The following is a 15,010-nucleotide window of genomic DNA, read 5'->3' on the forward strand; positions in this document are numbered from 1 at the left end:
TGGGACACTTGGGAGTCTGAGGAAAGATTTTTAGGTTGCCAAAGAGTGTTCAAAATTTAAAAGTAAATTTGGCTTTCATAAACATAATGAACAAAAGGAACTCAACATTTGAATTTAGCCTTCTTCCAAAATATGCCATCATTTTTTGCATTTTCCATTTTAACATTTAAACAGCAAAATAATTATCTTGGTTCTGTTTTTCTGTGTCTCAACTCTTTGCAAATGGAAATATATTCAAAGAAGATGAAGGAAGTGGTTAGGCTTTTTCTGCAAGTTCAATTATCTTTGTGTTATTGCTCATTATTTTGAAGCAGGCCCAGACAATCTTGTTGGTTATCTATTTAGATTGAACATTTTTATAAACGCGAGAAAGATAACTGTGAATGAAGATGTTGTTAAGCAAATGTTCTTAGTCATGTGTGTGGGTGTGTAGGGGTAAACATAGGAAAATTGATTACTCGGTCATGAGACTTGCTAAAGGCTTTCCACATCATCTGCTGAGACTCATGTCTCATTTCCATTAAGAGAAGGAATATTTGATAATGAAATTCTCCTTATCTGAACATAATTGTTTTGATGAGTATTAACTTCATAAGACAAGGAAATATCTGGATAATTTAATTTGGGTGGTAGGATAACTAAAGCATGAATCAACTAGAATTTTGTGATATATTCCTTATAGTAAAGATACATGTAGAAGAAAAGCTAAAATTTTCATTATATATGTTATATATACACATTTCATTACTATTTTGTATTTTAAGTCCATTCAAAATCTCCATATTAAACTACATTATTTTACAACAACGTATTGAGACTCATTGAGTTTGTGCAAAGTATTTTCTTTTGGAGGAAAATGTCTCCTTTCCAGTGTAGCTAGCTGACTGAGCTACAACTTGCTGAGAACTGTGAATTTCAGGCCCTGTGCTGTCCCTGTGGTCTGTACTTCAATGGGAGAACACGTTACTATGTTGTGATAGTATTCTGTTTATCGTGTCTATTCTCCTGCTTAATCTGGAAGCTAATTGAAAGCTAGAAATTTGGAAAGACATAGTATTTGTAAAGACAGTACTTAGCAATTGGCTGCTTTCTGATTAGTTAAATGTTCAACGTTGATGGCTTTATGTAAAGTTAATAAATTTAAACATATGCAGCTCAACGAACTTTGAAAAAGAATACACCCATGTAGCCAATACCCAGATCAAGTAATAGAATATTGTTGGCATTCTAGAAGCCTTCTTCATGCCTTCCTCCTGTCATTACCACTCCAACTAAGGGTAAACACTATTCTGAGTTGTCGTGAGTAGCTTTTCCTCTTTTTGAACTTATTATAATTGGGATTATGCAGTATGTATTATTTTGTGCCAGCTTCTTTTACTTCGAATTTTGTTTGTGAGATTCCTCCAACTGTAGCAATAGTTCATCTGTTTTTGTTGTTACACAGTAACTATGGTAAAATTTTTGCATCCATTTTTAGTTTATAGACAAAGATACATTCAATTTTGAGCAATTAGGAATAATGTTGCTATGACAATTCTTAAGGGATGTTGGTTTCCATTGCAGTTTTAATTTGCACTTCCTTAGTAACATATAATGTAAGAACTATCCATGTGATTATTGCCGGTGTGCATATTGTCTTTCATGAAGTACATCTTCAAGTTTTTAGCATGTTATTGAAAAATCATGTGGTTAACTTTTTCTTGTCAGTTTGTGACTTTATGAATCCTCAGTGGATATATGCACGCTTAATGCATTCTTCACGCTATTATTTGCCTTTTCATTCTGTTGACAATGTCTTTCTTCTCATGAACAGAAATTCATAGGTTTAATAAAATACTTTTTATAAATATTTTTACTTTACGGTTAATGCTTGATATCCTGTTTAGAAAAATCTTAACTGCAATATCATGAATGATTTTTCTTAGATGACTTCTAGGAGGTTTATAGTTTTGTTTTACACTTTTAGTGAGCATTCTATTGGGAACTGACTGTTTTAAAAGCTGTGATGTAGCTGTTAGTTCCATATGGACATGATTGACCTAGTTCCTTTTGTTGAAAAAGGGAAAAATAATTTCACATACTGAAGTGTCATAAATTAGGTCCCCAGAGATGTAGATCCATGTTCGGACTCTTAATTCTCTTTCATTTGTCTATTTGTCTCTCTTTGAGCTAATGAGTCATTGTCTTAATTACTGTAGCTTTATATCATATTCATATCCAATAATATAATTCTGTAAATTTGTTCTTTTTTTAAAAAAAGTTTGGCTTTCTTTGACTTTTTCTATTTTCAAATGGGTGTTAGTATCAACTTATCAATTTTAACAAAATAAAATTTGTGAGATTTTGACTGGAATTATTGAATACATAGGTTGATTTATGCATAAATGTCATCCTCACAATTTTGAGCTTTCTAGTCCACAAACAGACATAATATATTCCTTCACTTATTTAGATATTCTTTAGTTTCTCTTACGAGTGTATTGTAGTTTATAGGATGTAAGCTTACCTATCTTCTGGTACATCCCTAGCTACCTAATGCATATAATGCTAAAATAGAATTGTATTAATTATTACAATTTGATATTTGATGTCTAAATATTGGTTTCTAAAATGTAGAAATACACATAATTGTGTATATTGACTTTAGATCAGTAACTTTACTAAAAATCACTTACTAGTTTTAATAGTTTGTGAATTATTTTGAATTTCTACTTACACAATCATATGTACAAAATGAGAGTTTTATTTATTTTCACTTCTATTTAATTTCCTTTCCTCATCACACTAATGGCTAGACTTCTCCTTTTGTATAATACCGAACAGTAGTGGCATTAGGAGGCACATCCTTTTCATACTATTTTCGGGGGTAAAGCTATCAATAATTCAAAATTAAAGGGGATCGCTTTAGGTTTTCTGCAGAAAACTGTTATCATATCACTACTTTCCCTTCTATTTTTAGCTGGTTAGTTTTTCAAATTGTAAACTGGTGTTGAATTTTACCAAATGCATTTTATTCATGTATTGGGGTGTTTCCACTTTATTTTGTTAACATGGTTTATTAAGTCAATCACAATGATTGATAATCAAATGCTAAACCAAAATTATATTTCTGGAGCATATTCAACTTCGTGATATATTAATTGTTTTAAACACCAAATTTCTCTTGCTAACATTTCTATTAGGGCGTTTATGTCAGCTTGAGAGATTTGCCATTAAGTCCTGGTAAGGTCTTGTTATCAGGGTTTTATTGACCTCATAAAATGAGTTGGCATGTGTTAACTCTTTTTTCCTTATCTGGAAAAGTTTGTGAAAATTGATATCATCTCTTCCTGTTAAGAAAATTTCTTCTTTTTGAATTCTTCATAAATAATCTTTGCTAGATTATTTTCTTTTAAATATCTTTCATTCATTCATTTATTCTTTCGTTCATACAATAAATATTTACTTAATGTCCACTCTAACAGACATTGTGCTAGCCCTGCAGATGGAATGGTGAGCAGAAACAAGCATGGATCTTATCCACATTGAGCTCACAGCATAGCTGTTGTGGAAGATAGAGTAATCAAATAATTTAAAAGCATGGACCAAACTGTACTAAAAATTTATGAAGTATGGGTACCAGTGCTCAGAGATTACAGCAGGGACACCTAACCTATGACATGATTATGAAGTCTTCCTTAGGAAGCTAAGAGTCAGAAATAGACTGCCTCATTTCTTTTTTCTTGTTTGAACTTATATCTAATTCATGTGGTTAGAATGTTCTAAATGAGGATAAGTGGCTTCCCAGTGTGGTTCATTTTCTATATTATGTAGAGGATGTCCCAAAGTATTGGAGTTTGGTGATCCAAAAGCAAATTCATGTCCTTCACACTACACAAAAATTTGGCACAAATACTACATACTTAAGTCAGAAAAGAAAAAACACTAAAAATAAATTAGCCTCACTGGGCCCTTAATAGCAATGCCTAAAAATAAATACTTGCTGCTTGTCTTCAATTTAGTGCAGTCATTTATTCTCATCATTTTCTACTTTCTGGCAAAATACATAATGTGTATTTTCCAGGATGCTATATTTTATAAAATTTTAAAAATTAATTTTATAAATATAATATCTTTATTAATATTTTAAAATAACTTGTTTGGATGCACTATACAATCTCTTTCCTAATTCTTTAATTAGACTCACATACAATATTTAAATGCCACAGAGAGAAAACAAATTTTGAGTAATCAAAATTCTTCCCTTTAATGAAAAATACAGAGTTTTGTCCTATCTGGAAAGTTAGCTCATGCACTGCAAAACATGCCAAATACAGGCAGCAGAATAATAAACCCAGTATGTTGCAAAGTTCTTTCTTTTCCTTCTTTTCTTCTCCTTCTTCCTTCCAATTGAAATATATAAATATATGTGTGTATATATATATGTATGTATATACACATATATGTATTTTTTCTATGGAGAAAATCAGTAGATGTTAATTAGTAACTGAAACAAGTTTCTATCAATTTTAAACATCTAATAACCATTTTGAGTAAACTATATATACACCATTTAATATAATTGTAGAGAAAAATAAAATAAAATATTCCAAAATAATTTCAAAACTCCCTTAGGAAAGAGCCAAGAGTTTCAATGTCAAAAGAGTTTCAAGATTTGTATTCTTCTATTTGGGATATGATGAGTATAAAGGATTTACTAAATGTGCTAGGTCAAATATCACTTTGTTCTAGAAGCTTGTAAAATTATAAATTGGAATACTTTCTAAAAATTATGAAAACTACTGTAGTTTTCTGAGAATTGAGTTTTTTCATTGTTTAAAGCTGAAATATTGGCTGGGCATGGTGGCTCACTCCTTTAATCCTAGCACTTTGGAAACCCAAGGCAGGTGGATCACGAGGTCAGGAGTTTGAGATCAGCCTGGCTAACATAGTGAAACCCTGTCTCTACTAAAAATACAAAAATTAGCTGGTCACAGTGGGGCACGCCTGTAGTCCCAGGTACTCAGGATGCTGAAGCAGGAGAATCACTTGAACCTGGGAGGCGTAGGTTGCAGTGAGCTGAGATTGCACCACTGCACTCCAGCCTGGGCAACATAGCGAGACTCCATTTCAAAAAAAGAAAAAAAAAACACCTGAAATTTTGTAGAAACAAATAAATGTTTAACATGTCAATTTGGTGTTTTAATTTGAAATTGGGCATTTAAAAACTGTGATTATTTAATACTATTATTATTTTTGTTTTTTACAACGCCTATTTTTAGATACATAAGGTACCTGTGCAGGTTTGTTACATGGGTATGTTGCACCCAGGTAGGAGAGTATAGTACCTAATAGGTAGTTTTTCAACTCCCCTCCTCCCAGTATTCCACAATGTCTATTGTTTCCATTTTTATGTCCATGCATACTCAATGTTTAGCTCCCACTTTAAAGTGAGAACATGCGGTATTTGGTTTTCTGTTCTTGCATTCATTAGCTTAGGATTATGGCCTCCGGCTCCATCCATGTTGTTGCAAAGGACAATATTTCATTCTTTCTATGGCTGTGTAGTATTTCATGATATATATGTGAGGCAGGAGAATAGGGTCTGGAGCCTAAGGCCAACCTGAGGCTGACTTCTTGGAATTGAACCAAAAAGAAAACCTCACCTCTCTATGCCTAAGTGACAAGAAACCAGAGTCACCTGCCTCTACAAACCCCTCCCGCCCCCACACTCCCCTGTAGCACAAATGGGAAGTACCTCTGATTGGTCTGGGGCCAAGCCTTCATTTCAGCCTTTGATTGGTTGCAGGACCAGGCTCCATTTCAGCCTCTGATTGGTTGTGGGCCAAGCCTCCACTTCAGCCTCTGATGAGTCATGGGCCAATGCTTCATTCGCATAGGTTGTAACCAATTGGAGGCCTCTAAAGGGTACATATAGGTGTTACCAAATTCTTTTAGCTTAGTAAAAACTTCAAAGAGCATTGCAATCGGGGCTCTTGAGCCGCTTGCTCGAGTCTGCTCCCTGTCTGTAGAGTGTATGTTTGCTTCAGTAAATCTGTGCTTTCATTGCTTTGTTCTTTTGTTGTTTTGTTTGTGCGTCTTAGAATTCCGAATTCCAAGAACCTGGACAACTTGCCGTCAAGACTTTCCATCAGGTAACTTATGTACCACATTTCTTTATCCAATCCACCACTGATGGATACCTAGGTTGATTCCATGTCTTTGCTATTGTGAAAAGCAGTGATGAGCCTATGAGTGCACGTGTCTTTTTGGCTTCATGATCTATTTTCCTTTGGGTATATACCCAGTAATGGGATTGATTGCTGTGTTGAATGGTAGCCCTGTTTTAAGTTCTTTAACAAATCTCCGAATTGCTTTCCATGGTGGCTGAACTAATTTACACCCCCAGCAATAGTGTATAAGCATTCATTTAACTCTGCAGCCTCACCAGCATCTGTCGTTTTTGGACTTTTTAATAATGGCCATTCTAACTTGTGTGAGATGGTATCTCATTGTGGTTTCGATTTGTATTTCCCTGATGGTTAGTGATAATGAGCATCTTTTCACATGTTTGTTGACTTATTGTGTGTCTTCTTTGTGAAATGTATGTTCATGTCCTTCGCCCACTTTTTAATGGGGTCATTTGTTTTCTGCTTGTTGATTTAAGTTCCTTAAGCATTCTAGATATCAGACCTTTGCTGGATGCGTAGTTTGTGAATAATTTTTTCCCATTTTGCCGGCTATTTACTCTGTTGATAGGTTCTTTTGCTGTGCAAAAGCTCTTTAATTTAATTAGGTCCCACTTGTCATTTTTAGGGTTTTTCTTTTGCAATTGCTTTGGGAGACTCAGCCGAAAATTATTTGCCAAGGCTGATGTCAAGAAGGGTATTTCCTAGGTTTTCTTTTCGGAATTTTATAGTTTGAGGTCTTACATTTAAACCTTTAATCCATCTTGAGTTAGTGTTTATGTATAGTAAAAAGCAAGGGTCCAGTTTCATTCTCTGCATATGGCTAGCCAGTTATCCCAGTAACATGTATTGCACGAGGAGGCCTTTTCCCATTGCTTGTTTTTGTTGGCTTTTTCACAGATCGGATGGTTGTAGGTGTGTGGTTGTATTTCTGAGTTTTCTATTCCGAGCCTTTTGGCAAAGTCTTTAGGGTTTTCTAAGTATAGAATCATATTGTTAGCGAAGAGAGATAGTTTGACTTCTTTTTCAGTTTGGATGACTTTTATTTCTTTCTCTTGCCTGATTGCTCTGGCCAGGATTTCGAGTACTATGTTGAACAGGAGTGGTGAGAGTGGGCATCCTCGTCTTGTTCCAGTTCTCAAGGGGAATGGTTTCAGCTAAAAACTGTGATTTTCAATTACATTCCTAAAATACATTTCATTGGATAAAATATAGACAGAAAAATAAAAATATTGAAATGTGCACAAGTTGTTATTTGAATAGTACAGAATAGCCAGACTGACATGATATTATAAGTCTTTGGAAATGTTTTCTGTTAAGCCAAAGTCTCTGTGAAATTATAATTTTAAAAAAATGTGTAATAATAACAATGATTAAAATAGATCTTTGCTGATCTGAAAAATTTCTTTGTCTATCTTTCATATACACACTGTCATCACACAGTCACACATGCACTCCATAAATAAAAACTGGAAAGGCATAGAGAGATAAATATATATGTACCTCTATGTTTCTGGTAAGAAGGAAATAGGTTAATATATGTGAAATACTCAGGAAAATTCTCTGTCTCTTTTTCTTTCTCTTTTATCTTTCTCTCTTTCTTGCTGTCCACAAGTTTCATTGTTAGATGCCAAATAGTTCAGTTTATCTGTTATTTGATTTACGGAAGTTACTCTTATATAAAGGTAAATATTACAAAATATATTGAGAGACATTAAAATGATTTATTCTCATAGTAAATGAAACTGATGAAACTGACATGCTTAAAAATTTTAATGCCACTTTATGTGTTCAGAGTAAGCACTACTGAACTTAAGGTGCTATTTGAATAGAAAGCTTTTCTCATGCTATTGTATTTGGCATTCAAAAAATGGGAAAGAAAAAGCTAAATAATACGTTGGCAGTTCCATTTTTCCAAAGTAAAACAATATTTGGATTTTAAGTTTAAAAATTTTTTCAGTAAATTAGGCCAGGCGGGGTCTGTAATCCCCGCACTTTGGGAGGCCGAGGTGGGCAGTTCACTTGAAGCCAGGAGTTGGAGACCAGCATGGCCAACATAGCAAAACTTCATCTCTACTAAAAATATAAAAATTAGTCAGGCATGGTGGTGCGTGCCTGTAGCCCCAGCTACTCATGAGGCTGAGGCAGGAGAATCACTTGAACCAGGGAGACAGAAGTTGCAGTGAGCCGAGATCACTCCACTCTACTCCAGCCTAAGTAACAGAGTGAGACTCAAAAAATAATAATGATAATAAATAAATAAATAAACATTCAATAAGTTATTAAAACTTCAAGAGGTAAAAATGAACATGTTCATCTTTGCATACCCCTCAGTGGAAAATCATGCAATGAATTAAATGCAGTAATTCTGCTTGTAGCAGAATCCAAGTATTTTGTACTTACAGGTAGTCATGTGCTCTTGAAAAGCACTTTAGGAAAATGAATCTGTACAGTGTTCTCATTTTCTAATTTTAAGTTGTTAAAGGCACCATTTAATGTCAATTTATATTTCCCGTTACTGTCATCTCTTCAGAGGGTTAATATATACTAATGAAAACCTAGAATATTTCTCTCGTTTGTTTTTATTTTCCAAATATCAAGCGACTAAAATGCATTTTTCTGACAATTCACATTCTTTTAATAGACTGCAGACACAGTGAGGTAATAAATTTAGTGTTCTAAGAAACTAAATTTTGGTGTAATTTGTTATGCAGCAATATAGTTTCTGTGGAATACATGTGTGGCTTAATTGAATCCTCTGGCCCTGAGTCTCTCTCATAGGCTGCAGGGAAGGCGTCAGCCAGATCTGCAGTGGATTGAAGACACAACTTGGGGTAGATCTGCTGCCAAGATTTCACAAATGGTTGTGGGCAGGATTTAGTTTCTGGGAGCTGGTGGCCAGAAGCCTTCCTCATTTCCTTGCCACGTGGGCCTCTCCAAACAACTGCTTATGACATGGCTCTTGGGTTCATCAGTGACCAAGAGAGAAGGCAATAAAAAGAATGCTAGCAGCATAGAAATCTCATTCTTTCATAACCTGATTTCAGAAGTCGCATCTTACCACTTTTATAACATATTATACGTTAGAAGCAGGTCACAGGGCCAGCCCCCACTGAGAGGAAGGGAATTAGACAAGGCTGTGAATACCAAAAGAGGGGATAAGTGAGGGACATTTTAGAAGTGTGTCTATATTTTTATTTTTAAAAAACGATATACAAACACACTGGGAAAATCAATTTGAATTTTTTTCTTTTCCATTTTACCCAATTATTCTGAGGTTAAGGAAACATATCAAGAATAAAACAAAATATAATTACAAGGTTTGAAGTCATGACCGTAATCTCTCTTTTTATTGGCATTTATTAGCACCTGATTGATCACATTCATTGTTACATAGCTATAATCTATATTTGAAATTTATGGATAAGAGTTAAAATGAAAGATTTATATGCCATAGTATTTACATTACTATGTAACCAATGTTGAACTTCTAATACAAAATGTCAACACTAGGAATATCAATTCAAATGATAGTGAATTTCTCACCTGAAGCCACAAAGGCTACAAGGAGATGGTACATTTTTAAGTGTTGAAAAAAAAATCAAGTGATAATTATAGAACTGGTAAAACTATCCTTTGGGGAATGAATGGAAAGTAAAGACACCAGATCAAGGAAAGCTATAAGATGCTATTAAAAGCGAGAACTACCCTTAAAAATTGGCTAAAGGAAATTCTATAAACAGAAACAAAATGATAAAAGAATCCTGTAGCATCAAAAAACAAGAAAGAACAATCAAATAGAAATATGAATCTATAAGATAGAATATCTTTCTCATTTGTTTTATAAATCATATTTAATGATTGAAATGAAAATTATAAAATCATTTTATACTCAAGAAAGTGATATTTAATGATAGAGAAGGTAAAATGACCTAAAGAGAAATAAGTTTTCCATACTTCACTTGAAGTGATGAAATGTTGATTTCCAGTAGATAAGGCTGTTACATTTGTGTATTTTAATAAGTATGAAAACTGTACAAAGTGATAAACTAAAAAATACTGTACATATATCAGCCAGGTGGAATCCAAACAAAAATTCAAATAACAAGCAAGAAAGCAAAAGAAGAAATGCAGGGACGAGAAAGAGAGGACACAAAGAAAACAAATTATAAAATGGCAGATATAAGTTCTAACACATCAATAATTACTGTAAATGTAAATGGCCTAAATAGACGAGGTAGAAGTCAGAGATTGGCAGGGTGAATAAAACAAAAACAAGCAAACAAACAAAAAGCATGAGCAAGTTATATGCTATTAGTAAGGAACTTAACAAGAAACTCACTTCCTCAGATCATCAATTAAGATTGCCATCTATCACAAATAAAATAATGGAAAATAAAAGGATGGAAAAAAGTAACTTGGAAATAGTAGTTTTTAAAAAATACCTAAGAGTAGCTATGTTAATATCAGAGATGTCACTTCAGAACAAAACAAAATGAAATAAAATATAGAAACCCAACACAGACACGGAGGGAAATTTCATAATGATAAAAGGATCAATACATCAGGAAGACATAATGATCCTATATGAGTATTAGTAAAACAACACAGCTTCCAAACACATGAAGCAAAAACAGGTAGGGCTGAAAAGAGAAACAGACAAGTCAGGAATTATAGTTGAGGATTTCAGAAATCTCTCTCAACAACTAATAAAATGACTACACAGAATATCAGCAGAGGTATAGAGAATCTGAACAATACAATCAACAAATAGGATCTAATTGTCATTTATAGAACATTCCACCATACAATTGCAGAATATACATATTTTCAAGTGTCATGTAACATTCACCAAGGTACATACCCTATTTACAAAAAAAAAAAAAAAAAAAAAAAAACCTTCAACTAATGTAAAAGAATTGAAATTAGGCAGAGTATGTTCTCTTTCTGTAATGAAATCAAACTAAAAATCAACAGCAGAAATACAACAGAAATATCTCTAAAGAAGCAAAAATTAGACAACACATGTCTAAATAATTCATGGTTCAATGAGGAATTCGCTAAGAAAATAAAAAAATACAAAACTGAATAAAATGAAAATGCTAATGTCAAATATTTGAAAGACAGCTAAAGTAGTGCAGAGAAGAAAGATCATGCCCTAAATTCTTACATTAGAAGTAAGGTAATCAAGCCAATAATCTAAGTTCCTACCACAGGAAACTTAGAAAAAAACTTAGAAAAACAATTCAAATATATTTGAATTGTTATTTCTTTTATTTAAATTGTTACTTTATTTAAAAATATTTAAATTGTTATTTCTTTTATTGGAATATATTTACATTATGTGAATATATATTTAAATATATTCTGTCATGTCACTTCCAATCAATATACTGAATAAATAAGTTAAATACTGTTATAATTTTAAAATATTGCTTGACTTGATCATCAAGACGTGTATGACAATCTTATACAACTTCTTAGTGGGTATATTTGAAAAGTGGCTTTTCTGGCTTCCTTACTTTTGAAGTCTGGGTGAAAGATGTAGCTTTCTTATGTCTGGTCTTTCTCTTTTCTGAAAGAAAAAACTATCTTGCCCATCTTTCCTACATGTTCGCTACAACATTTGGATTCACCAGAAATTTTGCAATTTGGAGGAGCTGGGCTTTTAAAAAATTTTTTGTTGATTCGATTTATATTTTCAAAGTGTAAATCTTACCCTTTGGTCATGCTATTTACAGTGAAAATTGAATTCCAGCTCATACATACAAAATAAAGTTTAACATATGATATCATGCATGATTTTACAGAAATGCTTTTTGCTTTAGTAAGAACTGGGGTGACTGAAGTGGAGTATTTGGATATACGCACAGGTATAGCTCATGAAAGTCTTAAATACATTGTAAAATGTCTGCTTCTGAATCCAGTTTTTTCTCTTGCTTTTTGATGTGGAATACAGTTTAGCCAAATTAGATTATTAATGTAAAGAATGTACTGTTGGGAAAATAAAACTGACTTTAAGAATAAATTTTGTCTTGATTGAAAAAATATTATATGTACTTTTTGAAAATAAATAGGACAATCTTTGATCTTCACTCTTCAAACTTCGTGAAGTCTGAGAAAACTTTCCAGTCAGCCAACATAAAGCAGTTGGCAGCTTTGCACATCCTATCAAATGGGTGTGAGAAAATATTACCGCATTTCACTGACATAAAGAGCTTTCTCCTGTTTACCACAAAGTGTAAATAGACCTGTGAAGATCTTGTGACATAGCCACACAGATTCTTTAAGAACAAGTGTGAATATGGTAAACGGTTTAGGAATTTTGCTTAGAAAATGTATAGGAAAATTGGGGTCATCTGTGGCTTTGTTTCCTGAAACCTTAAATGCACAAAAATATTTGGAAATCTCGATGAATTCAGTATTAAAGAAAATCTATTATTTTAACAAATAAATAGATTTTAAATGTAAAAACAACAACAACAAACAGAAAAAATTCCCTGATCTTGATGATACAACCGTCCTTCTCTTAGTACCACCTAGTTTGTAGTGGAACTGTGATAGGAATTATTTCATAGAGTGATTTGCTCTCACATTAGATATTGATAATAATTATCATTTGGAGTTATTGGTTATGTGCTCTCATTTTAATTTCCTTTTAACATTTTAGCATTTCCGGAAACAGTTACATTGTCATCTTTGTCATTTAATCGATATGAGGTTCTACAAGATGATGTTTACATAGTAATGTAAATTTCAGATACAGTCACCTGCCTAAATTTAGAAAGTGGTAGAACCTTTAACAATATCAGGCTTGTGCAGTGTTATTTCCCATAAAATGTGCACCATGTCTATTAGCCACCTGGAAATAGTGCTAAGCTGCTAAGCACATTCTTATACAAAAATAAGATTAGGTGGGGCTATACAGTTCCAGCAGAGCTAATATTAATTTTATTTTTGGCTTAAGGTCTCAAGAAATATTTTGGCTTTTTTATTTGGCACCATTAAGTTGGATTAGATTGCATAAGAAAATTGGGATAGTTTGTGGCTTTGTTCACTAAAACCTTGGCATGAGTATAAATATTTTAAAATGCTGATGAATTGACTGTCAGGTTTCCATACACACAGGTAAAATATGTAGAACAGATTATATATACATGTATATGTATATATAATATTGTATATTATGTTTATTCCATATATATTCTATATAATACAGAAATAGGCTGCTAAGCTCAAATGTATGACATAATCTCTTTAAGTCTCAAAATTTGTACACTGGTGAGAAATTTCAGCAATATTTTAGAGCAGAGCTTTCTTGAACCTGCTTGGCATCCCAAGTACTTCATAAGAGTAGTTAAATGATGTATCCACCAAGAAGATTCTAAATTGTCTGAACCTAAATTTGTACTTGGCAGGCGAAGCACCATAAAGGCTTCAAGTTGATCAGCCTGCCAGAAAACAGGAATTTTATTTTTCCAAGACTCATAACAAATGATGCATTGACACTTTATAAAACGGATTATGGATTTTGGATCTCTCTGTATTTCTTTATTCATATTATAAAGAAGTCACACTGGTCACTTTTTTTCTCTGATCTATGAGGTTATTATTATAATGTAATTTTTAAGCCCCTTAAAGCTTATAGAAAACACAGCAATGACATCAAGATACTATGTGGAGAGACTCTGAAATAGTTTATTTTTAAAGAATTGGAGTTTTAAAAATCATTGAACATTATCTTAGAAACGTAATATTTTTATCACTATTTTTTCTCAAATAATTTTACTGAAAACCTAGCCTAAAGGAAAGGCATCACATAGATTTGCACCAGTGACATATTGCTTCAATAACACTAGTTAATAGCAATAGCTTGAAGAGGGAGCAATGAAGAGTAAGCTAGCAAAAGGTCATGCTTACTGTATTAATTCCATGCCAATTCTTTAAAATAGAGGTAATATCTATCTGATCAGATAATGCCATTTAAAATTTAATAACGACTCTTGGCAAACATGACATTGTTTTAAACTTTGTGTTTATGCTCATTTTATGTTACAATGCTTTTGGAAAGTAAAATATCTAAGCTTTAAATTATTGGCAAGTTGTTCAGATTTATTTTATATTATTAAGTTGCCTGCTTTGGCGAATTATTTTCTGTCTCTGTACAATTTAAAAGCCTCTCATTTGCACCAACTAGCAGAGATGGAAGCTGTCTGTATAATTTGCTACAGCGTAAGGATTTTTAAAATAGAATATTTAAGCATGAACAAATCTTGAACTACACACATATGATTCCATATGGCCATTTACTGTAATGGTTTCATTTATCTCATCATCACAGCTATAGTCTTCCATTTAATAGTCTGTGTACTCTTGCAAAAGTTCATATATATGTATATATGCTTTAGATCTATACAAAATGCATTTTCATACTCATCATTTGTGCATGTTTGACAGGCCACATTTTATAATACAATAAAGTGTTTATTTTCCTGAATATTAAAAACAGATTCTTTTTTCTTTTTATCAGAGTATATGTCATCGTATCTATCATAATGGTTGTTTCTTAGCATTGTGCTTTTAATCTGTATTAATCTATTTTCTCACTGCAAATGGCTTTTGTTATTTTGTGTGCATTACAGGTCCTATGCTTTTTAGGAAAAAAAAAATTCAACAAAGGTTTCATTTTCTATAGATTAAGATAAAGCAATAACGATAAACAATAAGACAAAAATCTTTTTAATGTCTCTTTTATCCTGCCATGGAAGTTTAACTTCTGCCAAAAATGCTTTTCTTTCTGCCCCATTTCATTTTTCAGATAATACATAAAATGTCACTTGGGA

At 32.7% G+C, this 15,010-nt stretch overlaps 1 protein-coding gene across 8 annotated transcripts in view; it reads left to right on the forward strand.

Annotated features, from left to right (window-relative positions):
• CCDC102B (coiled-coil domain containing 102B) overlaps window positions 1-15,010 on the forward strand; it is a 342,906-nt gene that overhangs the window by 102,067 nt on the left and 225,829 nt on the right. For 2 of the 8 annotated variants that reach the window (XM_047437804.1, XM_047437805.1), the window contains one exon: window positions 6,084-6,134. The exons of 5 other annotated variants lie outside the window; for them this stretch is intronic. The gene's annotated coding sequence lies outside the window, so the exon portion shown is untranslated. Of the gene's footprint in view, window positions 1-6,083; window positions 6,135-15,010 lie in introns of those variants that run through there. One more of the 8 variants, XM_047437807.1, reaches the window with a different exon arrangement.

Source organism: Homo sapiens, chromosome 18 (genome assembly GCF_000001405.40).
Source record: "Homo sapiens chromosome 18, GRCh38.p14 Primary Assembly".
NCBI classification, from domain to species: domain Eukaryota; kingdom Metazoa; phylum Chordata; class Mammalia; order Primates; family Hominidae; genus Homo; species Homo sapiens.